The sequence below is a fragment of the Homo sapiens genome, chromosome 7 (assembly GCF_000001405.40).
Source record: "Homo sapiens chromosome 7, GRCh38.p14 Primary Assembly".
Lineage (NCBI taxonomy): Eukaryota > Metazoa > Chordata > Mammalia > Primates > Hominidae > Homo > Homo sapiens.
In genome coordinates, this window is record NC_000007.14 from 137,094,857 (window position 1) to 137,122,606 (window position 27,750).

Here is a 27,750-nt window from a genome sequence, read left to right on the forward strand (position 1 = left end):
CCCAACATCAATAGAGAGGTCAACATTCAAATTCAGGAAATTCAGAGAACCCCTATGAAATACTATACAAGATGACCATCCCCAAGACAACATATTTATCAGATTCTCCAAGGTCAATGTGAAAGAAAAAAAATATTCAAAGTGGCTAAAGAGAGGGGGCAGGTCACCTACAAAGGGACTCCATCAGGCTAACAGCAGACCTTTCAGCAGAAACCCTATAAGTCAGAAGATATTGGCAGTGTATATTCAGCATTCTTAAAGAAAAAAAAATCCCAACCAAGAATTTCATATCCAGCCAAACTATGCTTCATAAGTAAAGGAGAAATAAAATTCTTTTCAGACAAGCAGATGCTAAAGGAATTTGTTACCACAAGACCTGCCTTGCAGAGGTTCTTAAGGGAGTGTTAAACATGGAAATGAAAGACCATTAGCAGCCACCACAAAAATACACTTAAACACATAGGCCATTGACACTATAAAGCAATTACACAATCAAGTCTTCATAACAACCAGCTAACAACACAATAACAAGATAAAATCTACACATATCAATATTAACCTTGAACATAAATGAGCTAAGTGCCTCCACTTAAAAGGCACAGAGTGGCAACTTGGTAAAGAAGCAAGAGCCAACTCTCTGCTGTCTTGAAGAGACCCATCTCACATGCAATGACACTCATAGGTTCAAAGTAAAGGAAGGGAGAAATATCTACCAAGAAAATGGAAAACAAAAAAGAGTAGGGTTTGCTAGTCTAATTTCAGTCAAAACAGACTTTAAACTGACAACAATCAAAAAAGCAAAAGGAGGGCATGATAAAGAGTTCAATTCAACAAGAAGACATAACTATCATAAATATATATACACTCAACAATGGAGCACCCAGTTTCATAAAACAAGTTTTTAAAGACCTAAAAAGAGACTTAGATAACCACACAATAATAATGAACTTCATCACCCCTTAACTGTATTAGGCGGGTCATTAAGGCAGAAAGCTAACAACGATATTAGAGAGCTAAACTTGAAACTTGACCAAATGAACCTAACACATATCTACAGAACACTCTACCCAACAAAGACATAATATACATTCTTCTCATCTGCACATAGAAGGTACTCTAAAATTGACCATATGCTTGGCTGTAAAACAATTCTTAACAAATTAAAAAAAAAATCCAAATCAGACCAACCACACTCTAGGACTATAGTGCAAGGAAAATAGAAATCAATACTAAGAAGATCTCTCAAAATCATACAATTATGTGGAAATTAAATAAGATGCCTCTGAATGAATTTAGGGTAAACAATGAAATTAAGGCAGAAATCAAGAAATTTATGGAAACTAATGAAAACAAAGATACAACATACCAGAATCTCTGAGACAGCTACAGCAGTGTTGAGAGGAGATTTTATAGCACCAAACACACACATCAAAAAGTTACAACGATCTCAAATTCACAACCTAATATTACATCTATGAAAACTGGAAAAACAAGAGCAAACCAACCACAGAGCTAGCAGAAGAAAGGAATAACCAAAATCGGAGTTTAACTGAAAGAAATAGAGATGCAAAAAGCAGTACAAAAGATCAATGAGACAAAAAATTGATTCATTTGAAGAATAAATACAATTGATAGACTGCTACGTAGACTAATAAAGAAAGAGAGAAGATCCAAATAAATGCAATCATAAATGACAAAGGGAACATTATCACTGACCTCACAGAAATAAAATAAACCTCAGAGATTATTACGAAAACCTCTACGCACAAAAACTAGAAAACCTAGAAAAAGGAATAAATTCCTGGAAACACACCACCTCCCAAAATTGAACTAGGAGGAAATGGAAACCCTAAACAGACCAATGGCAAGTTCCAAAATTGAATCAGTAATAAAAAGGCCATTAGCTAGAAAAACTCCTGCACCAGATGGATTCACAGCTGTATAAACAAGTGCTGGTACCACTCCTACTCAAACTATTCCAAAAAAATGAGGAGGAAGGATTCCTCCCTAACTCACTCTATGAGGCCAGCATCATCCTGATATTAAAACCTGGCAAAGACACAGCAATGACAACAAAAAATATTCAGGCCAACATCCTTGATGAACACAGATGCAGAAATCCTTGACAAAATACTAGCAAACCAAATCTAGCAGCACATCAAAAAGCTGATCCACCATGATCAAGTAGGCTTCATTCCTGGGATGCAAGGTTGGTTCACCATATGCAAATCAATAAATTCAATTTATCACATAAACAGAACTAAAAACAAAAACTTCATGATTATCTAAATAAATGCTGAAAAGGTTTTTGATAAAATTTAACTTTCTATCAGGTTAAAAACCCTCAACAAACTAGGCCATGAAGGAACATGCCTCAAAATCGTAGGAGCCATCTATGACAAAACCACAGCCAATATTATACTGAGTGAGCTAAATCTGGAAGCATTCCCTTTGATAACCAGAACAAGACAAGAATGCCCACTCTCACCACTCTTACTCAACATTGTACTGGAAGTTGTAGCCAGAGCAATCAGTCAGGAGAAAGAAAGGAAATGCATCCAAATTTTAAAAAGAGGAAATAAAACTATCTCTCTTTACTGATGATATGATTTTATATTTAGAAAATCCCAAAGTCTCTTCCCAAAGGCTCCTACATCTGATAAACAACTTCAGCAATGTTTCAGGATATAAAATGAATGTATAAAATCAGCAGCATTTCTGTACACCAACAGCATCCAAACTGAGAGCCAAATCAAGAATGCAATTATATTCACAATAGCCACACACACGAAAATAAAGTACCTAGGAATACAGTTAACCAGGCTTGTGAAAGATCTCTATAATGAGAGAGAAACAAAACAAACAAATGTAAAAACAAATCCATGATAAGAAGAACCAATGTTGTTAAAATGGCCACAATGTTCAAAGCAATTTAAAACTACAATGCTAGTTCTATCTAACTACCAATGGCATTCTTCACAGAATTAGAAAAAAATTCTAAAATTTATATGAAACCAAAAAGTAGCCCGAATAGTCAAAGCAATCCTAAGTGAAAAAGAACAAAGCTGGAAGCATCACATTACCTGACTTCAAACTATACTACAAGGCTCCAGTAAAAAAAAAAAAAACAGCATTGAACTGGTACAAAAACAGGTTAGAGAACCCAGAAATAAGGCTACAAACACACTTAATGATCTTCTGATCTTCAACAAAATCGAGAAAAAATGTAATGGGGAAAGGACTCTCTACACAATAAATGGTGCTGATATAACTGGCTAGCCATATGTAGAAGAGCAAAACTGGACTGCTCCCTTGCACCATATACACAATTAACTCAAGATGGATTAAATAATCAGATATAACGGGAGGCTGAGGCAGGAGAATGGCGTGAACCTGGGAGGCAGAGCTTGCAGTGAGCCGAGATCATGCCACTGCACTCCAGCCTGGGCGACAGAGTGAGATTCTGTCTCAAAAAAAAAAAAAAAAAAGAATCAGATAAAAAACCTAAAACTATACAAACCTTAGAAGAAAACTTATGAGTTATCATTCTGGACATAGGCTATGGCAAAGATTTTGTGATAAAGAGTCCAAAAGCAATTGCAACAAAATCAAAAATTCACAAATGGAAAATAATTAAACCCATGGGCTTCTGCACAGCAAAAGAAACTATTAACAGTAAACAGAACCTATAGAATTGGAAAAAATATTTGCAAACTAAGCATCTGACCAAGGTCTAATATCTAGATATAAAGATCTTAAACAAATTAACAAGCAAAAAATAATAACTCCATTAAAATATGGGCAAAGAACATGAATAGACACTTTTCAAAAGAAGATATACGCAAAACCAACAAGCATATGAAAAATGCTCAACAACACTAATCACTAGAGAAATGCAAATCAAAACCAAAATAAGATATCATCTCACACCATTCACAATGGCTGTTATTAAAATGTCAAAAAATAACAGACGCTGGTGGTGTTGCAGGGAAAAGGGAATACTTATACACTACCAGTCAGAATGTAAATTAGCTCAGCCATTGTGGAAAGTTTTAGTGTAGGGATATCTCAAAGAATTAAAATAAAACTATCATTTGACCCAGCAATATGGTATACTGGGTATATGCCCAAAGGAATACAAGTCATTTTATCATAAAGTCACATGCACTCCTATGTTTATCACAGCACTATTCGCAACAGCAAAGACATGGAATCAACCTAAATATTCAATAACAGTGGAGAGGATAAGGACACTGTGGTACATACACAACATGCAATACTACACAGCAATAAAAAAGAATAAAATCACGTCCTTTGCAGAAGCATGGGCGGAGCTGGAGTCTATTATCCTAAGTGAATTAACACAGGAACACAAAATCAAATACTACACATTGTCACTTATCAATGAGAGCTAAATATTGAGTACACAGACACAAAAAAGGGAACAAAAACCACCAGGACCTACTTGAGGGTAGATGATGGGAGAACAGTAAGGATTGAAAAACTACCTATCAGGTATTATGTTAATCACCTGGGTAATGAAATAATCTGTACACCAAACCCCTGTGACTTGCAATTTATTCCTGTAACAAAGCTGTACATGTACCCTAAACCTAAAATAAAAATTTGAAAGAAAAAAAAATCATGTCAGCTGGGAATAGAGGTATTTTTTACTTTTTCTTTTTCAATATTGATATGGTTTGGCTGTGTCCCCAAATAAATCTCATCTTGAGTTGTAGCTCCCATAATCCCCACTCTTTACAGAAATGTAATGTGTAAAGTGAAATGAAGAAAAGGAATTTAGTCCACCTGTATTTATTGTAAATAACTGGTATATTAGGATTTCTTTCTATCACCTCACTTTCTGTGTGTGTGTTTTTGATTTTTTGTTTTGTTTTCTCTTTCTGTTTCTTTCTTGCCTTCAGTATTGCTCTTCTAGTAGCACATTCACAATTTGCTTGACTAAAATTTTCTTGTCTTCAGTTAGTACATGATACCAGGAATAAAGTTATTTTTCTCACTAGAAATATTCATAGGTAGTAATTTCATAGATATTACTTTATCGTACTTTCTTCTGACTTCCACTGCTCTTAAAGTTAGCTATTAAACTGATTGCTGTTCCTTAAAAAGTTATCTACTTATGACTGTTTTTGAGATTGGTTATCAATGATTTTCATTTTACCATACTTTATAGGTTAAGAATTATTTTTTAATTTATGTGACTTGAGATTTACATTGTATCCTAAATGTGTAGTTTAGTGTCTTTCATAAGTTCCATAAAATGTTTGATCTTCAAATGTTGCCTCAGCACATTATTTGTCTTCTTTTCCTGAACTCTGATTAAAAAACATATTAGACCTCACTCTATCTCTAATGTCACCTTATTATTTTCAATTCTTATTTTCCATCTTTGTTTTCTCTCTGGGCTACATTATAGATCATGTCTTTATACCTATCTCCCATTCTACTACTTCTTTCTTTAGTTGTATCTATTATGTTATTACAACTTATGTTTTGTTTTTTTGCTTGTTTCACTTTTAATGATTATGCTTTATTTTTAGTTCTAGGAATTTTGTTCCTAACCTGTATTTTTTTTTTTTTGAGTCAGAGTCTCGCTCTGTCGCCCAGGCTGGAGTGCAATGGTGTGATCTCGGCTCACTCCGACCTCCGCCTCCTGAATGCAAGCAATTCTTTTGAAACCCTTTACATTTAAGTACTTTAAGCATATGTATGTGATATTTTATGTCTGAATATTCCAATTTGCAAGCCTGACTTCTCAGTCTATTGTTTCTGCTGGGTTTTGCTTATGCTATGTTTTCCTTAAGTGTTTTGTGATTTTTTTTTTTTTTTTGGCTATATGAACACATTTTTCAGAATTTATTTTGAGGAATACTTTGAAGTTCAGGTAACTTCATTCAGAGAAAATTTTTATCTAAACTAAACTCTTGACTTCAAGAACCACAATTTTTCAAACACCACAGATAGTGGGAATTCTAGCTGAAAATCTGCATGGTTATGAGTTTTCAGGGATAAAATATTTTCTACTCCACTACCTGACAAGAATTTTTGCATTCATTTTCACTGCAGTTTCTGAAGTCTCTTGGTAGCAAGTATTAAGAGTATTGATTGGCCAGACGCAGTGGCTCACGCCTGTAATCCCAGAACTTTGGGAGGACAACGCGGGCGGATCACAAGGACAGGAGATCGAGACCATCCTGGCGAACACAGTGAAATGCCATCTTTACTAAAAATACAACAAAATTAGCTGGGCATGGTGGCGGGCACCTGTAGTGCCAGCTACTCGGGAGGCTGCGGCAGGAGAATGGCGTGAACCCGGGAGGTGGAGCTTGCAGTGAGCCGAGATCACGCCACTGCACTCCAGCCTGGGCGACAGAGAGAGACTCCATCTAAAAAAAAAGAGTATTGATCAATTATTTAAATTATTGAATTGATATAATGAAAAATAGATCTCATGACTGGTCCATCTTTTCAAAGACTTTTAGTTTATTGGCAGAAATATGTTCATAAGTTTGCATTTTACTTTTTGTATATTTGTAATTTCTCAAATTATGATCCCTTTTCAAAATCAATATGGTTACTTTCTGTCTTCTCTCATAAATACTGTCATTTAGAATGCTTTAATCCAGATCATCCTACCAATATTATGTGTATTCTTGTGTGGTATTGTTTCATACTCTCTAGTAGTAATTGTTATTCTTTTTTTTTTTTTTTTTTTTTTTGAGACGGAGTCTCCCTGTCACCCAGGCTGGAGTGCAGTGGCGCTATCTCGGCTCACTGCAGGCTCCGCCCCCCGGGGTTCACGCCATTCTCCTGCCTCAGCCTCCCGAGTAGCTGGGACTACAGGCGCCCGCTACCTCGCCCGGCTAATTTTTTGTATTTTTAGTAGAAACGGGGTTTCACTGTGTTAGCCAGGATGGTCTCGATCTCCTGACCTCGTGATCCACCCGCCTCGGCCTCCCAAAGTGCTGGGATAACAGGCGTGAGCCACCGCACCCGGCCATAATTGTTATTCTTATATGATGGAATACCTCAAATTCAAAGTAATCTCTTCTAAATGTTCCAGTTTATTCTTTATAGCTTCTGTAATCCATAAATTTTTGAAATTTTTTTAGGAATATCTTTTCAGCTTGTTTCATCCCTTTATACAATAAAGCTCTAAATTTTATAATTACTATTTTCTTCTATATTTCTTAACTCCAACCATTCATAAATGCGCTATTACAAAATCTATGACAGGATGAAATATTTAAGGAGGTTCTAAGGTTAAGCAAATTATAACCCAAATTACATGATTACCTGTGCTGCACCCACTAAGGTTTTAATGCCCGTATCGTGTTTGGTAGAAGACAAAACAAATATATAGAAAAGCTGCCTGTGAAGGTGGAAGAAGGAAACCTTCCTACACTGTCTGGCAAATCATTGCCAATGGAGAGTCCGCGTGTGTGTAGGAGAAAAAGAGAGAGAGATTAATTAATGATTTTCTAGGACAAACTTTGAAAAGATTTTAGGTAGAATGGAAATGAAAGAAACCATAAGCGTTGCTGGATAAACATATGTCATCTTTCACTTGAAGATAATATTGCTGATATTCAATCCTTGAAATACATGCATTTACATTGTACTTCCTAACTCAAGGGAGGGGAAGACCAGTTTGTACTCCAGAGACAATCTCCCCTTCAATTTTGTTTATTTTTCTAGATTTAGATTTACACCACTAATCCTAAATTAGGTATTTGACTTAATTAAAATGGATTTAAGTTTAGGCAATAGAAAAATAGAGTCAACTCACAGTATCATCTCATTTTTTTTTCCAAAAAGAAGGGGAAAGTAAATTATTTCACATCACTTTGTCTTCATATATCTATCTTTTCATTCCTCTTTCCAAACTCAGAGACTTTACACAAGCTGTTCCTTCTGCCTAGAAGTCTTTCCTCATGGTGTGTGCTTCATTAAATCCTACATGTCCTTAAAGTCTCAGTTAAATTTTCCAAGCTCCCAAACTAATGTATTGTCTATTATAATATCCTCCATTTTCCCTTCATGGAAGCTACTGTGATTTCTTATTTATTTTAGTGATGAATTCTACAATATCTATTTTCTCCATTAGAAGACTAACCTCTATGCATTCACTGTTATGTTCCCAGTGCCTGCCCCAAGTGCTGACCTTCAGTGTGGACATAATGATTAGTTGACACAAAATGAAGGAAGGAACATGCTATTGAAAACTTTATTTTCCAGGGGACCTGGGCAAGACAGCTGGATAGGAGCAGCCCCCAGCCAAATAAACGCAGAACACGGGTGATTTCCGCATTTCTGAGGTACCTGACTCATCTCATTGGGGCTGGGTAGACAGTGTGTGCAGCCCACGGAGAGCAAGCAGAAGCAAGGTGGGGCGCTGCCTTACCCGGGAAGGGCAAGGGGTCAAGGAACTCACTCCCCTAGCCAAGGGAAGCACTGTGAGAAATGGTGCATTCCGGCCCAGATACTAAGCTTTTCCCATGGTCTTCATAACTTGCAGACCAGGAGATTCCCTTGGGTGCCTACACCACCAGGACCCAGGTTTTCAAGCACGAAACTGGACAGCCATTTGGGCTGACACCAAGCTAGCTGCAGGAGCTTTTTTTTCATACCCCAGTGGCACCTGGAACACCAGCGAGACAGAACCGTTCACTCCCCTGGAAAGAGGGCTGAAGCCAGGGAGCCAAGTGGTCTAGCTTAGCGGACCCCACCTCCACAGAGCCCAGCAAGCTAAGATACACTGGCTTGAAATTCTCGCTGCCAGCATAGCAGTTTGAAGTCGACCTGGGATGCTCAAGCTTGGTGGGGGGCGGTTAGTCACCATTACTGAGGCTTAACTAGGCAGTTTTCCCCTCACAGTGTAAACAAAGCCGCTGTAGCCAGGCTGCCTCTTTAGATTCCTCCTCTCTGGGTAGGGCATCTCTGAAAGAAAGGCAGCCACCCCAGTCAGGGGCTTATAGATAAAACTCCCATCTCCCTAGGACAGAGTACCTGGGGGAAGGGGCAGCTGTGTGCGCAGCTTCAGCAGAGTTAAATGTTCCTACCTGCCGGCTCTAAAGACAGCAGTGGATCTCCCAGCACAGTTCTCGAGCTCTGCTAAGAGACAGACTGCCTCCTCAAGTTAGCCCCTGACACCCATGCCTCCTGATTTGGAGACACCTCCCAGCAGGGGTCAACAGGCTCCTCATACAGGACAGCTCTGGCTGGCAACTGGCAAATGCCCCTCTGGGAAGAAGCTTCCAGAGGAAGGAAAAGGCAGCAATCTTTGCAGTTCTGCAGCCTCCGCTGGTGATACCCAGGCAAACAGGGTCTGGAGTGGACCTCCAGCGAACTCCAGCAGACCTGCAGTAGAGGGACTTGACTATTAGAAGGAAAACTAACAACAGAAAGGAATAGAATTAACATCAACGAAAAAGACGTCAACACAAAAACCCCATCTGAAGGTCATCAACATCAAAGACCAAAGGCAGATAAATCCACGAAGATGAGGAAAAATCAGTGAAAAACGGCTGAATATTCCAAAAACCAGAACACCTCTTCTCCAAAGGATCACAACTCCTCACCAGCAAGGGAACAAAACTGGATAGAGAATGAGTTTGACGAACTGGCAGAAGTAGGCTTCAGAAGGCAGGTAATAACAAAGTCCTCCAAGCTAAAGGAGCATGTTCTAACCCAATGCAAGGACGATAAGAACCTTGATAAAAGGTTAGAGGAATTGCTCACTAGAATAACCAATTTAGAGAAGAACATAAATGATCTGATGGAGCTGAAAAACACAGCATGAGAACTTGGTGAAGCATACACAAGCTGAATAGATCAAGTGGAAGAAATGATATCAGAGACTGAAGACCAACTTAATGAAATAAAGTGTGACAAAATCAGAGAAAAAAAGAATGAAAAGGAACAAACAAAGCCTCCAAGAAATATGGAACTATGTGAAAAGACCAAACCTACATTTGATTGGTGTACCAGAAAGTGATGAGGAGAATGGAACCAAGTTGAAAACACTCTTCAAGATATCATCCAGAACTTCCCCGACCTAGGAAGACAGGCCAACATTCAAATTCAAGACATACAGAGAACACCACAAAGATAATCCTCGAGAAGAGCAACCCCAAGACACATAATCGTTGGATTCACCAAGGTTGAAATGAAAGAAAAAATGTTAAGGACAGCCAGAGAGAAAGGTCGGGTTACCCACAAAGGGAAGCCCATCAGACTAACAATGGATCTCTCTGCAGAAACCTTACAAGCCAGAAGGGAGTGGGGGCCAATATTCAACATTTTTAAAGAATTTTCAACCCAAAATTTCATATCCAGCCAAACTAAGCTTCACCCTAACATCACAATTAGAAAAACTAGAGAAGCAAGAGCAAACATATTTAAAAGTTAGAAGAAGACAAGAAATAACTAAATTCAGAGCAGAACTGAAGGAGAGAAGACATGAAAAACCCTTCAAAAAATCAATGAATCCAGGAGCTGGATTGTTGAAACGATTAACAAAATAGATAGACTGCTAGCCAGACTACTAAAGAAGAAAAGAGAGAAGAAACAAATAGACACAATAAAAATGATAAAGGGGAGATCACCACTGATCCCACAGAAATAAAAACTAACATCTGAGAATACTATAAACACCTTAACGCAAATAAACCAGAGCATCTAGAAGAAATGGATAAATTCCTGGACATATACACCCTCCCAAGACTAAATCAGGAAGAAGTCGAATCCCTGAATAGACCAATAACAAGGTCTGAAATTGAGGCAGTAATTAATAGCCTACCAACCAAACAACAACAACAACAAAAAAAAGCCCAGGAAGAGATGGCTTCACAGCCGAATTCTACCAGAGGTACAAAGAGGAGCTGGTACCATTCCTCCTGAAACTATTGCAAACAACAGGAAAAGAGGTACTCCTCTCTAACTCATTTTATAAAGCCAGCATCATCCTGAAACCAAAACCTGGAAGAGACACATCAAAAAAACAAAATTTCAGGCCAATATCCCTGATGAACATCGACGCAAAAATCCTCAGTAAAATACTGGCAAACCAAATCCAGCAGCACATCAAAAAGCTTATCCACCACAACCAAGTTGGCTTCATCTCTGGGATGCAAGGCTGGTTCAACATACACAAATCAATAAACGTAATCCATCACATAAACAGAACCAATGACAATTATCTCAATAGATGCAGAAAAGGCCTTCAATAAAATTCAACACCCCTTCATGCTAACAACTCTCAATAAACTAGGTATTGATGGAATGTATCTCAAAATATTAAGAGCTATTTATGACAAACCCTCAGCCAATATCATACTGAATGGGCAAAATCTGGAAGCATTCCCTTTGAAAACCAGCACAAGACAAGGATGCCCTCCCTCACCACTCCTATTCAACATAGTATTGGATGTTCTGGCCAGGGCAATCAGGCAAGAGGAAGAAATAAAGGGTATTCAAATATAAAGAGAAGACGTCAAATTGTCTCTGTTTGCAGATGGCATGATTGTAAATTTAGAAAACCCCATTGCCTCAGCCCAAAATCTCCTGAAGTTGATAAGCAACTTCAGCAAAGTCTAAGGACACAAAATCAACATGCAAAAATCACAAGCATTCCTATACACCAATGATAGACAAACAGAGAGCCAAATCATGAGTGAACTCCCATTCACAATTGCTACAAAGAGATTCAAATACCTAGGAATACAACTTACAAGGGATGTGAAGGACCTCTTCAAGGAGAACTACAAACTACTTCTCAAGGAAATAAGAGAGGACACAAACAAATGGTAAAACATTCCATGCTCGTGGATAGGAAGAATCAATATCATGAAAATGGCCATACTGCCCAAAGTAATTTATAGATTCAATGCTATTCCCGTCAAGCTACCATTGACTTTCTTCATAGAATTTGAAAAAAACTACTTTAAATTTCATATGGAACCAAAAAAGAGCCCATATAGCCAAGACAATCCTAAGCAAAAAGAACAAAGCTGGAGGCATCACATTACCTGACCTTAAACTATACTACAAGGCTACAGTAACCAAAACAGCATGCTACTTGCACCAAAACAGACATATAGACCAACGGAACAGAACAGAGGCCCCAGAAATAACGCCACACATCTGCAACCATCTGATCTTTGACAAACCTGACAAATACAAGCAATGGGGAAAGGTTACCTATTTAATAAATGGTGTTGGGAAAACTGGCTAGCCATATGCAGAAAACTGAAACTGGAACCCTTCCTTACAACTTATACAAAAATTAACTCAAGATGTATTAAAGACTTAAATGTTAGACCTAAAACCATAAAAACCCTAGAAGAAAACCTAGGCAATACCATTCAGGACACAGGCATGGGCAAGGACTTCATGACTAAAATACCAAAAGCAAGGGCAACAAAAGCCAAAATTGACAAATGGGATCTAATTAAACTAAAGAGATTCTGCATAGCAAAAGAAACTATTATCAGAGTGAACAGGCAACCTACAGAATGGGAGGAAATTTTTGCCATCTACTGATCTGACAAAGGGCAAATATCCAGAATCTACAAGGAACTTAAATAAATTTACAAGAAAAAACAAACCACCCCATCAAGAAGTTGGTGAAGGACATGAACAGAAACTTCTCAAAAAAGTCATTTATGTGGCCAAGAAACTATGAAAAAAAGCTCATCATCACTGGTCATTAGAGAAATGCAAATCAAAACCACAATAAGATACCATCTCACTCCAGTTAAAATGGCAATCATTAAAAAGTCAGGAAACGACAGATGCTGGAGAGGATGTGGAGAAATAGGAACACTTTTACACTATTGCTGGGAGTGTAAATTAGTTCAACCATTGTGGAAGACAGTATGGCAATTCCTCAAGGATCTAGAACCAGAAATACCATTTGACCCAGCAATCCCATTACTGGGTATATGCCCAAAGGATTATAAATCATTCTACTATAAAGACACATGCACACATATGTTTATTGCAGCACTATTCACAATACCAAAGACTCGGAACCAACCCAAATGCCCATCAATGATAGACTGAACAAAGAAAATGTGGCACATATACACCATGGAATACTATGCAGCCATAAAAAAGGATGAGTTCATGTCCTTTGCAGGTATATGGATAAGCTGGAAACCATCATTCTCAGCAAACTAACACGGAAACAGAAAACCAAACACCACATGTTCTCACTCATAAGTGGGAGTTGAACAATGAGAACACATGGACACAGAGAAGGGAACATCACACACTGGGGCCTGTCAGGAGGTAGGGGGCTAGGGGAGAAATAGCATTAGGAGAAATACCTAACGTAGGTGACGGGTTGATGGGTGCAGCAAACCACTATGGCATGTGTATACCTATGTAACAAACCTGCATGTTCTGTACATGTATCCCAGAACTTAAAGTATAATTTTAAAAAACTTTATTTTCCCTCAATACTTCCTTGTTTTATTATTTTTTGCCATTTAGGATGTCCATTTTTGAAATAATTCAGAATAATTATTATAAATATTACATATATTGTAGTGAGATCATGGTTTTCAAGACTTTTGAACCATTTAAAGCTCTTCTTCCCTGTCTAACGTGTCTAGGATAGTATACATACCTAATTCTTCAGTCAGCTTTTATTATACCTCCTGACTTCTCTACTTTTAGCTGCCTGCATATCTCCTCATTCTCAGCATCCTCTGTGTGCCACTGGTTTCCTTATTGGATCAAATGTCTAAACCAATGATCCCAAGCATTCACACCCACCTCAACACAGGTAAAGTTTAGAATTTTCAACAACTGCTTTTTTCCAGGACTTGTTTATTTTTATTTTTTATGGATTTAGGGGGTAAAAGTACAGTTTTGTTACATATATATATTGCATAGTGTTGAAGTCTAGGCTTTTAGTTTGATGGGTACACTACAGGCACAATGTACAAGTAGTGTACATTGTTACATTGTACTCTATAGGTAATTTCTCATCCTTCACCCCCTCCCACCTTCCCATTTTGGGGGCTCTAATGTCTATTATTCCCTCTGTATGTCCTTGTGTACATTGCTTAGTTTCCAATTGTAAGTGAGATCATACAGTATTTGACTTTCTGCTTTCTGTTTTTGAGTTATTTCACCTAGGATAATGGCCTCCAGTTCATCCATGTCACTGTAAAAGACATGATTTCATCCTTTTTTGTGGCTGAGTAGTATTCCACGGTATAATATATGTACACCACATTTTCTTTATCCAATAATCTGTTGAGGGACATTTAGGCTGATTCCATGACTTTACCATTGTGAATAAGTGTTGCAATAAACATATGAGTATAGGTGCTTTTTTAAAATATAGTAATTTATTTTCCTTTAGGTGAACACCTAGTGCTGGGATTGCTGGGTCAAATGGTAGTTCTGTTTTCAATGCTTTGAGAAATGTCCATACTGTTTTCCACACAGGTTGTACTCATTTACCTACCCACAAATAATGTATAAACGTTCCCTTTTCTCCATATCCTTACCAACATCAGAACTGCCTTTTTTGTTGTGACTAATGGTTTTAGTTTTTTTTTTTAGTTGTTTGCTTTGCCTTTAAATTATGCTTCTTGGACAATGTTTTGCATAATTGTGAGTTCTCACCGTATGGCTCACAGGGAGGTGCTATGTTATTATAATTGACCTTCATTATTTTCAGATTGAAGATCCCTATGTTTAAATTCATAAAAGTAAGCCTAAAAGGAAACAAGGGGGACACTCAATATGTTGGATGAAAAAGCACTCCATCATTTACTGGTTGTGTGGTCTCTCTGAAAAGTTATTCAGTACTGTGACCTTAAGTTTATTATCTGTAAATCGTGGATAACAATACTTAATTCACAGAGAAATGGAAATTAAAATATTATTTAATAGCTTCTCAATCAATATTAATTTGCTTTCCTTCATTTCTAAATTGTACAGACTTTAAGATTTGAGGGAGAACTGACTGAAAATTTAAATTTAGTTTGGAAATATCTAAATTGGTGGTTTAAACACTATATTCAGTCAGCAGGCTCATTTTATCTTTCCAATCATTCTGCTGAAGAAGTTCTTAATGAGCATGTTTTAATCAGTAAAACTGATTAAGACAATAAGCTCTTAATCTAATGCAGCTCAACAAATATGCTTTGCATGCCCATTAAGTCTAAGATGCCGGACTAAGTACTGAAGAGGCTACACATGTGAATAAGCTCTAGTCTCTGCCCTCCTAACGCGGCAAAAATGAATCACTGACAAGGGCAAGAATGGAAGAGAAATCTATTACAGAGTAGTGGCAGAGTGCTGTAATCGCATGCAAGGACACTAAAGAAATGGATAGAGAGAGTAGCATAAAGAAAAGGGAAATATGGCAAAATGCTGGGAACCTTGCATGGGATTTTAAAGGTTTCCATGGAAACAGTTAGACTTGAATGCATGGGTGCATAAGGCAGTCTTACCAGGTGCCTGTTATTGGTTTGGAGGAGGGAAAAATTACATTTCCATGACAGTTACAGATTAGCTGAGCAAGTAGCTTTCCAAAGTGATGTACTTGCAAAAAACAGATAAGTACTGTCCAGAGTGAAAATGTTTGTATTCTCTGGAGCCAGCTGGGTAATCAGATCTCCGTTTAGAAAGGACCAGATTGCAGTTTGTACTTTCTGACCATTTTACCCAAGATAGCAGGATCTTCTACACAGAAGCAATTTTCTGGGCAGGGGATGGGTGGGGGAGTTCTCATAGTACATAGGTAGGCAGTAGAAAGAAAATTGAAAATGGGAGAGAAACTGCCCCAAAGAGAATCATGCAGATACTTCAGAGATTACTAAATATGACAAGGAATAGAAGTATGTGTAAACCTAGGAAGTTATGAAATATGTATAATGGCATTGAGACATTGAGGCATTTGACAGTGTAATGAAGCAATACCTTCAGTTGGGATTTGGGATTTAAAGAAGCAAAACTCAGCCATCTATCACTGACCCAAGAGATGACAAAGAGAGAAAAGAAAATTAGACAATATTCCAGAAGAAATCTATCTGAGTTTGGCAAAACATACAGTTTAATAGCACATATTTTCAAGGACATACAAGATAAAAAAAGTACACTAACTCTTTCCAAGAAAGATATATATAGTTTCAAACTATATATATATATATACACACACACAAATATACATGCAACAGAAGTAGTATATATATTACACATAAATATTACAGAAATTGTATGTGTACATATCAGAAATACTATATACATATGTACATATATATTACAGAAATGGTGTGTGTGCATATATATACATATATATTTCTGATAGATAGAGATATATTATTTTTCAATGATTGAGCAGATAATTGTTTATTGAGTCCTAATAGTATAGATAATAGTGACAAAAGGCCACACAAGTCCTAGATGTAACATAAAAAAAATCGGTAGGTATGTTAAAATCCTGCAGCATAAATTAAGGATTATTTCTTAAATCCTGGGTCATGTTGAATAAAGGCTCCAGAAAGGAGAGGTTAATTGAAGAAATCTTTTGAAAGAGATGAGTTTCAAGTCAGATTTCAGAGCTCTATGGTTGGCCATGTGTTGGTAATTGTGAAGGCAGAGACCATGTCAATATATGGAAATAATGTGTGCAACAAAAAATAAAGCCATAAACTTCGAGGTAACTTTGATGATAATAAGCACATGGTATATATAAGGACAAACATGCAAGTGAGCAAGAGCAAGCTATTGGTACTGTCTGGTCACATCTTATTTGTGACATCTAGAAAAAAAAGCTGAACTATATCCTGCTTTAATAGTTTTAAAGTTAAACTATTTTAGAATCAAATATATTGATGCTCAAAACATTCCTTCTTGCTCCCTTAAGCTCATCACCATTGCCATAAACAGCCTGAGGCAACCACTAACCCTCTTTCTATCACTGTAAATGAGTTTTGTATTTTCAATTATTTCATATACACAGAAATAATTTGAACTGTTTTGTGTCTAGCTTCCTTAACAGAGCATGTTTTGAAATTCATCCAAGTGATTGTTTCAGTAATGTGTTCCATTTTCTTGATTCAAATACCATCCATTGTTGAATAATATTAAATTGCATGGATATCCTTCAATTTATGTATAATTTACCTGTTATGGGAATTTGGGTTTGTTTTTGTTTCCCCACTTTGGAGTTACTATTATTAAAGCGGCTACGAATGTTTTTGTACAAGTTGTTGTGGGGACACATGATGTATTTCACTTGGAAAAAATGTTTAGGTGTAAGATTTCAAGTTCGTGTGAAAAGAATAGGTTTAACTTTATAAGAAATTGCCAAACAGTTTTCCATAATGGCTGTGCCATTTTGCATTCCCACCAATTGGTAAAAGCTTCAGGAGCACTAGTTCATCACTAACACTTGACCTTGTCAGTCTTTTCAATGATAGCCATTTTACTGTGTCATCTTACTTTGTCGTGATTTTAACTTGTATTTATCTAATGACTAAAGATATTAAACGTATTTTGCCTGTTGGCTATTTGTATCCTCCTTAGTGAAATATCTGTGCATATCTTTGTTGGATTTTAAAACTTTCATTGGTGTATGTATTCTCCTTATTGAGAACTAAAAATTCTTTATTTATTCTGGATACAAATCAGATATATATATTATGGATATTTTCTTTCAGTCTGTGGTTTGCCTTTTCAAATTCTTAACAATGCTTTTGGAAGTTCAGGGCTTTTGATTTTGGATTTAAACATATTTGGTGAGTTTTAATAAATTTAAATTATGTTTTAAAATACTTGGATAATTGGAGTCTAGCCAAAGGAAAGTAATTTATAATAAAACAATTTGTATTTCATGATGTAAAATTAGGATGAACTACACAGAAAAACATAATCAAGTAGTCAGAGATTTGAAGTTCTATGTCAAGTCACTGAATTATGTGGTTAAAATTGTTGAGTGATACAGGGGTGTGTATTAGTGAACCAAATATTATAAGTGATATTTCTGTCAGTAATATTCTAAAATAGTGAACAATCTTGTAAATTTTTTCTATTTACATGAGTTGGCTTCTACTATCGGCAACTTTTCTTTCTTTTTTTAACCATTTAAATGTCTAACAGTCTAATACTCCTAAGCCCTTCCAAATGCCAGTAGCACCTAAAATATTGTGACAACCATGATTACTCCAACAAAGTATCTTTTAAGAATTGATGTTATCCCCATTGAAAACTGCTGATTTATCTGAAGTCCACATGTGAGCTTCATGTAAACAACTTTCAACTACAGCTGCAATATTGTTCCTGGTGAGAATGCATCATGATTCATAGCATGGATATTAAGCTCCCATCTATCTACCTTCCCTCTTAAGGAATTTCAGAAAGAAAGTAATCTACATATTTCAGGTAACAAATACCTTGTGAAATTTTTAACACCTGAGTTTAAAAGGTACTTTTTAAGGTCCTCAGTATTATAGATTAAGAAACAAAGCAAAATTGTTATTTCGAGACTACACAACAGGACAATGGATACAAAACTATTATTCCTCAGTGTGCACATGTTTTTACGTTACATCGTGTATACTGGAAAATACCTATATTACAAGCAATTGCAGATATTCTCTGTCAAAAGAGCAGAAAGGAAAAAGGAGCAATATGTTGATAAGAATCAGTGAAAATGCACTGAAAATAGCAACAACAAAAAGTGTTCCCTTGCGATTTCTGATTATTTCTGCCTTAAATCTTCAATCCCAGACATGCCTTAAATCTTCAGTCTTCTAATACTGAAAATTCACACTTCGGTTTTGCTAAGTTCTCCACTGTTAGGTTAATTCTTTAAAGGAAATCCCAGTGCTGGACAACACCATTCTGACACCAATTATTATTCTTGATTGTTATTTCACAACTTCCCAGATTGGGGCTCACACATTTTTATAAGCTAAGAAAAGTAAACAGACATTAAAAAAACACTTCCATATATCTAGAGATGTAAGATTAGTTTGTACACAGAACACTTCTAATTTCTGATGGTACCTTAAACATTTTAATGTCACTGTTATTTTTTGTAAATCTTTCTAATTTCATTCTCTCCTACCCTACTGCTTTGATGTGTAGATATCTCCTCATTCTATCTATCGATCACGTCACTCATGCCTAGTTATCATCACATATCCATAAGTATTAATATTTTAATACTTTTAAGGGCAGACCACTTTTTTTATTTCTGTACCTATGTGTGTGTGTGTGTGTGGGGGGGGGGTGTTAGCCTGTGATATTTATAAATATAGTCAAACCGTATGTGGGATTTAAAATGAGTTTCTGCTCATCTGTCTACAAGTCTAACAATAACAATACATTTGTATGTACTATGAAATAATTCTCTTTTCTTCATTGTATTTGACTATCAATGCACATAAAACATGCATATATATGTATATACACACACATATGGATGTGAATGTTTGTGACTAGGAATGGTTCTTTCTTACCCTGTATATGTGTGCATGTATGTGTAAATATATATATATATTATATATATACACATGTGTATTTAAGTTCTTTGTGGTTTTTAAAGCTTCTCTTTACATTCTTTGTACCCCTGTATAAGTAATATACAGTTGCACATGAAAAGAGACTTTATGTTTTATAACATTTATAACATTTAGCTGTTTACATCATACTTTGTCATGCATTTTTTTTCCTGTGAATCCATGGCCAGTTGATTATGTCTGGATTTATTTGGAGTGTACTTATAGCCATAATTCCATATCTCATATACATTTTATATCCATATTTCAAAATGTATAGCTTGCGCCACTGCCTCTTCCTAACTGATTAATAAATAACTTTTGAAATTGTTTGTATGTATTCAAGAAGTAAAGGTATGAGCACTATAGGCCTTATGCTGGGTGACAAAGTTTTTCAAAACCATGGGAAAGAGGAACATCCTGAGAACTGAAAATACCTCTACAAGGGACTCTGGCTCTCAAGCCATTGCAAGACATAAGCAAAGATTTTAATAAAATAAACCTAAAAATATATGAGACATTAAAATGAATTCCAGTTATCTCCTGCTTTCCCCACATGCTCAAATATTCTGCTTCTTGAGGGAGCTTATAGGACCTTCTAGTATTTAGAGCCTTATTTTCAAATAAGCCACATTATTATGTCTGATTTTCCATTTATCTCCTACCATAGAAAATGAGAACTTATTTCTTTTATATCAACTACTAAACCTGCACTCACAGTGACTCTATTTCAAAAAATATGTTTTTATCAAAATACTCATTTGTAGTCATTCCACATTAATAACATTATAAGCATGCCAATGTTTTTCATAGTTAAGTCAGGTGGTTTATTATTTTTCACTTTTTTATTGTATAGATTTATATTCCCCATTTATTTCACATTTGTGTACATATTTTTAATGCAACCTCAAAGTCAGACAGAAGCGTGAATCTCAATGTGTCCAAAGTATATTAGATAATCCATCAGTTTTCTTTTTCACCTTATAAAATAAACATTACTTGCTCATTTATGCCATCATTTATATTTTATTGTATTTATCTATTTTATGATTCTACCTACCTACACACACACACACGTACGGAGGAAAAGAACTGTCTATGAAGAATATATTCCAACCTCCCCTAAAGCAGGGACTGGCTTGGAGTCACCTGAACATGTTTTAGACTTACATGGTTAAAAATCACTGAATAGAAATAGAAAGTATGTCATCTTCTGAAAATCCCAGTAAAAGAATAGTAGAAGGGCTTTTTTGTTTCAGTGTTAACCCACAGGATAAAGGGAATGGAAGACAAGGTAAACAATAGAGGAGACTGCAACACAATTTTGAAAGCAGGAAAGAAGATGAATAATGAGGAAAAGACTTTTCAGAAAAGAAAACTGTGTACTGCTTTTGGGGATCTGGGCGGCTGAAATAGTCAGGAGAGTTGGCCAAGACCTTACTGTTTTAACCTTTGTAGGAAGTGAATATTATGTGTGTGTGTGTGCATGTGTGTGTATAATATATTTGTAATTATTTTTTAAACATAAATACACAAACAGATGCACAGAATTAGGTCAAGTATAGTAAATATAATCCTTGTTCCATGTTTATTGTTAATGGTCCATTCATAGATCTCTTGATTTTATTTGGATTTTTAAAATTTTCACTTATTAATAGTGAATACCTATAAATACATTGCCCAAACTAAAAACTAAAGTGTTATCAATATCATATCTATCTACCTGTGTATTCCTCCAATAACACATCTCATATCGCCCTCATCCTAAATTTTAAGTTTATTAAATTTTGGCCTTTTTTAAACATCATAATTTACATACATATCTTGTTTTATTGCTAGTCTTGGAACTTTACATAAACAACATGTTATATGTTCTTAATGCTTGCTTTTATTCACTTAGCATTATAGAACTAAAATTTCTCTGTTATTATATGTAATTGGAGCTCATTCATTTCAAATACTGTATAACATTGTTTAGTGACTATATGAATTTATACTCATTTATCTCAATGAACACTTCTTTTACCAGAGTTTTGTTATTATGAACATGGAAATTATGAATTCTTATGCACACATCCTGGACCATATATCCTAAAATTCTCTTGGCAACACAGAGGAGTAGAAGTTCTGCATCACAGAATATGCGAATGTTCAACTTCCAAAGGTAATGCAAACTAGTCCATCAAACTGGGTCCTAACAATTGACACTCTCACCCTAATGTCTAAGAAGATTTCATTCATTCATACCCTTTGGAATATGTGGGATTTTCAGATATCTTCATTTTTGACAAGGAAATAGTTGTAAAATACTATTGTATTGAGATTGTGATTTGCATTTCTAGATTACTGGATTTCCAGAGATGATAAACTTCTCAATTTATTGATTATACAAGTTTTTCTTTGTATTATATTTACTCATAGCCATTGTCAGTATTTCTAGTGTTACTCATTTTCTTCTCTTTATTCTGAATATCTCTTATTGTTATTATCAGTAATGATAACAATACTAATTTTGTTTCAACTTTATATATAGCAATAGCTTTTCTTAACTTACAGCTTACATTTCCACCTTTCTTTAAGATGCCTTTTCATAAAGATAATCCCTTAATTTTAATACAGTCTAAATTATCAATTTTGTTTCACTTAAAGCTAATACTTCTTATATTTTATTTAATACACTTGTCTATTCTTACTTCATGCATTTTCTTTTAGATGTGTTATGGTTTTGATATTAAATGGTTTTGTCCCTTTGGGACTGATGTTTCAGTATGCCATACTGCAGTATCTATTTTCACTTTTTTCCATGTGTACAGACACCACACCCATTAACTAAGCCTATATTTCTCCTTTGGCTGGCAATGTATCTCTGAGATATACCTCATTTCCAATTGTGGTTGGGTCGGTTATTGCTTTTTCACTTATATTCATCAACATTCCTATCCATGTCCTAATACTTCAATCTCTCGTTCCCTATTATTTTATGTCTTTATATCTGTTAGAGCAAGTTTTCCTCTCTTGACACTTTTTAAGATTATCTTAACTACTGAGGTCCCCTGTGCACCATAAACATTTTATAATCAAATGGTCAATTTTCATAAAATGTCTTTGTTGGGATTTTCATTGAAGATGTATTTAATCTATAGATCACTTTGAGGGAGCTACCATCACTACAATACTAGATTTTGTTATTTATTAACATATAATATCACTCCTTCCATTTAAGTAATTTTAATGCTCTTCCATCAAGTTATATAATTTTAATGTGCACATTTTGAACATCATTTGGTGGATTTATTCTTGTAGTTTTTATTGTTGTTATAAATGGTGGTATCTTTTTTATTTGTTGTTATGCTTTCTAATTATTTGTTGCTGGTGACTGGATATGTATTGATATTTGTGTGTGAGATAAACACACACAAATCTCACACACAAATATCAATCTGCTTAAATTTAGCAATCTTGCTTAAATTCTATTGACTCATCTCTAGGTATTTTAAATTTTCTATGAAAACAGGTTTATATGCAAATAACACTTTTATTTCTTCCTTTCTTCTTATGCCCTTATTTTAGGCTAGATAGCTTAGATAAATATTTTGGATAAATATCTCGCTCCAAATTCTAGGACTTTTAATATAGGATTAAATAGAAGTAGAAAAGTGGGAATGCCTGTCTTATTTCTAAATCTAAAGAAAATAATTTGTTTCCCATTTATAATTGTGCCTGTTGAAGAATTTTTTGTTGTTTTCTTGTATCAGATTAAATTAGTTTCCTTCCATTTCTAGTTTATTGAGAGTTTTACTGTGAATGGCTCTTGAATTTTGTCACTTATTTATTCTGTGTCTATTGAGATGAGGAGATGGCTATTTCCAGTTATCTATTAATTCAGTGAATTAAATTTACACATTTTCTTATATTAAAACATCATTGCATTCCTGAGATGCATCTAACTTTTTTATAGTGCGTTTTTGGTAAATATTGAGTTTCCTTTGCTAATATTTTGTTTGGGATTCCAGAAATCTTGAGGAAAATGTGCTACAATATTTCTTTTTTTTTTTCTTTTTTTTAAATTATACTTTAAGTTTTAGGGTACATGTGCACATTGTGCAGGTTAGTTACATATGTATACATGTACCATGCTGGTGCACTGCACCCACTAACTCGTCATCTAGCATTAGGTATATCTCCCAATGCTATCCCTCCCCCTTCCCCCCACCCCATCACAGTCCCCAGAGTGTGATATTCCCTTCCTGTGTCCATGTGATCTCATTGTTCAGTTCCCACCTATGAGTGAGAATATGCAGTGTTTGGTTTTTTGTTCTTGTGATAGTTTACTGAGAATGATGATTTCCAATTTCATCCATGTCCCTACAAAGGACATGAACTCATCGTTTTTTCTGGCTGCATAGTGTTCCATGGTGTATATGTGCCACATTTTCTTAATCCAGTCTATCATTGTTGGACATTTGGGTTGGTTCCAAGTCTTTGCTATTGTGAATAATGCCACAATAAACATACGTGTGCATGTGTCTTTATAGCAGCATGATTTCTAGTCCTTTGGGTATATACCCAGTAATGGGATGGCTGGGTCAAATGGTATTTCTAGTTCTAGATCCCTGAGGAATCGCCACACTGACTTCCACAATGGTTGAACTAGTTTACAGTCCCACCAACAGTGTAAAAGTGTTCCTATTTCTCCACATCCTCTCCAGCACCTGTTGTTTCCTGACTTTTTAATGATCGCCATTCTAACTGGTGTGAGATGATATCTCATTGTGGTTTTGATTTGCATTTCTCTGATGGCCAGTGATGGTGAGCATTTTTTCATGTGTTTTCTGGCTGCATAAATGTCTTCTTTTGAGAAGTGTCTGTTCATGACCTTCGCCCACTTTTTGATGAGGTTGTTTGTTTTTTTCTTGTAAATTTGTTTGAGTTCGTTGTAGATTCTGGATATTAGCCCTTTGTCAGATGAGTAGGTTGTGAAAATTTTCTCCCATTTTGTAGGTTGCCTGTTCACTCTGATGGTAGTTTCTTTTGCTGTGCAGAAGCTCTTTAGTTTAATTAGATCCCATTTGTCAATTTTGTCTTTTGTTGCCATTGCTTTTGGTGTTTTAGACATGAAGTCCTTGCCCATGCCTATGTCCTGAATGGTAATGCCTAGGTTTTCTTCTAGGGTTTTTATGGTTTTAGGTCTAACGTTTAAATCTTTAATCCATCTTGAATTGATTTTTGTATAAAGTGTAAGGAAGGGATCCAGTTTCAGCTTTCTACATATGGCTAGCCAGTTTTCCCAGCACCATTTATAACACCTCTACGCAAATAAACTAGAAAATCTAGAAGAAATGGATTAATTCCTCGACATATTTCTTTTATTTGTTGCTATCTAGTTTGAAGTTAGAACATTCAGGCTGTATTATGTTGTGCCACAGTAAAAACACTTCCAAAATTCAAGTGGCTAAAACATTGCTTGTTTTACTTATTGCTCATGCAACATGCTCATCTCACCTCAGTCACACAGGAACTCAAGATGGCGGAGCTTCCACCATCTGGGACTTTGCCAGTCACCAGGGAGAGAGGAACATAACAAAACACGTAATTGCTATTAAATACTTTTTTTTCTGGAAGTCACACAAATTATGTCTACTCATAATTCATTAACCAAAGCCAAGCCTAATGGCCATGGCTATCATCAAAGATAGAAGGATTCCAATCCTCTCAGGTTTGCAGAAGGGGGAGAACTAAAAGATCCGCCAACAGTTCTAATGACTTCCACAGTCTAGACTTCTGGTAAGAAAACATTTGGCTCTCTATTTTTCCCATATACAAAATATGTCCTCCACCTCCACCAAGGGAAGCAATCCAAAAGTCTTTCCAGTCATGGCATCAATTTTACAACCTAGGATAAAAGAATGAGGATAGACTTGTATAATATCTTGATATTAGTTCTGGATGTGAATCTTCTTGATTTTAAGACCCATGGACTCTTCCAAAATCCTAAATATAATAAGGAAACCATGACAGACAATTGCAGTAAATATTCTAGAAGAAGAATGGGAGCCACATAGCATACACTGGTCCCACATAACAGAGACTTATCTATAGAAATCCTGAAAAGCTTCTGAAAAGACATTTTGAGGATTCCCCCATAAGTTGGTAGGATATGATTTTTGAATAGTCCTTGATTCTCCTCTTTGGGAATCATTAACTTGTTGAATTTTCTCCCTGGATCCACATGCTATGTGATTCTTCTCTTTTTACATAAGCCTCCTTGGCTATATCTGAATCGGACATCAGCAAGATGTTCTTCTTGGAACCTGAGCAATTCCCTCAGCTCACTTCTTGCCTGTAGATAGTTGGGAGCCCCAGGATCTTTTTAAGTCTCAGTCATGGTCTATTTTAGTTTCGAATGTTGACTCTTTTGACAGCACAATTCTCTCAAACATATTTTTGGCTTCTCTATTTTATTGCAGTTGGCTCTATGAGCAATGACCACACCCGTTTCTTTTGAGTCACAATTCTCACTTTGAATATTTTTTGCTTTCTCTTCCCCTTGCCTCTCTGTCTTTCTCAACTTAACTATGGGCCTAGAGCATATATGAATGTCTCATACTGCCTGCTAAGTTTCTGTAGTTGCCCCTTTTACCAAGTATTTAGCCATTCCATAACAAGGACTCTTACCCTTTTAGTCTGTAATAAATTGTCCTTGCTATCTACCATTTAACCCATTAAGTCAATACCACATATTGAAATTGTTTCATAGCACTCCCTATATCAGTGTACTAGGAGCTCTATCAGTCAGCATGAACCAGATCTTGCCATGGTAGCAAACAGTCCCCAAATGTTAGTGATTTAAAAATACAAAGTTTTATATTTTGCTTATAATTTTGGGTTGATGGTGGCTCTTCTCCTGCTCATCCTCACTTAGAGAAACAGGTTAATGGAATCTTCACTAATCACTTTGGCAAGATAAAGAGAATGTTGCAAACCACATGCTGGCTCTTAATGGCTTCCACTCTCAACTAACTGGCCAAAGCAAATCACATGATAATACTTAACTTCGACAAGATGAGGATGTGCAATCATGCCACATGCCTGGAGGAAGGAAAACAAAGAATATGAGAAATTATAATGATGCATGAACCAAATTAAAACAGTTTTTGTTCTTTTTCCTATTGAAGAAGCATGGGGAAAAAGAATTGGATGCAATTGTTGGCTAAGATTGTTTCAGCTCTGACAGTGTTGGAAGACTCAGGATATCACAGGCATTCTGTCTTCCTGGTAGATGATGTCCTATGCTAGAGATGGAAGCACCAAGGCATTAGGTCTGACACCACTAAACATTCTTGACATCATACTAAATAATTTTATTCTGATTCATGCTCACCAAGTTATCTTCTGATCAGTTGTCTTTATATGTAGCCTGTTCACAAGAAAAAAAATGCACCAACTAGGGAGATATAAACATTCTGTCTCTTTATTGCCATAATTTCCAGTGAAATTTAGTAAATCAGCATTCAACTTTTGTATTTTGTGTGAAAATGTGAGCATGAGTCAGCATCACCAAACCTGACCAGCTCTGCTACACTGACACGATCAAACTCAGAAATGTGATAAATTCCAAGGTAAATTCCTGCTAGAAAATCGAGAGGCAGGGGATCAACTTGACGTTTTACGCTTTCCTCGGAACCACATGAAACAGTTTTTTTGAAAAAACAAAAACAAACAAACAACAACAATGAAATCTTGTATTTCTTCTTTTCTTCAAAAGATGTAGAGTGAAAAAGGAATTGTGGAAGAAAGAAGCTTCATATTGTGTTTGGATCAGAATCAGGTAGCAGCACCTGCTTGCGGGGAAAAAGCTGGGCACCAGATCAGAGCCTACAGCTTTTAACAGAAAAGGAAGTCAGAAAACAAATGCTAGTATAAACCACAGTGCAGAGTTGCTGAGGACAGTGAAAATCAGACCTGGTTGTTGGAAGAAACCAAGACAGGACACAGAGCAGGCCTCAGACGATTTCAACTAGTGTAGAACACACTCAATTATCCCTGTTTTGTTGGACTTTTTGCTGATTTTTATACACAACAAGCTCAGTCTCATAGATTTTCAATTGATTATGACATCTGCATGGAGTGCATTCTCACCAAATCCTTCAGCATAATTACAAAGCTGAGCAGGAGATGGGGATTTGGGGGTCCAGAGTGA

At 36.0% G+C, this 27,750-nt stretch overlaps 1 long non-coding RNA gene across 1 annotated transcript in view, besides 2 other annotated features; it reads right to left on the bottom strand.

Annotated features, from left to right (window-relative positions):
• Positions 1–27,750, bottom strand: part of LOC349160 (uncharacterized) — a 265,569-nt gene that overhangs the window by 196,084 nt on the left and 41,735 nt on the right. The gene's annotated exons all lie outside the window — the stretch shown is intronic.
• Positions 16,653–16,853: a silencer, noted in NCBI's record as "peak6771 fragment used in MPRA reporter construct". NCBI's record gives its function as "represses an SCP1 promoter by STARR-seq MPRAs in K562 erythroleukemia cells {active_cell/tissue: K562}" and the evidence as "EXISTENCE:reporter gene assay evidence [ECO:0000049][PMID:32103011]".
• Positions 18,633–18,833: a silencer, noted in NCBI's record as "peak6772 fragment used in MPRA reporter construct". NCBI's record gives its function as "represses an SCP1 promoter by STARR-seq MPRAs in K562 erythroleukemia cells {active_cell/tissue: K562}" and the evidence as "EXISTENCE:reporter gene assay evidence [ECO:0000049][PMID:32103011]".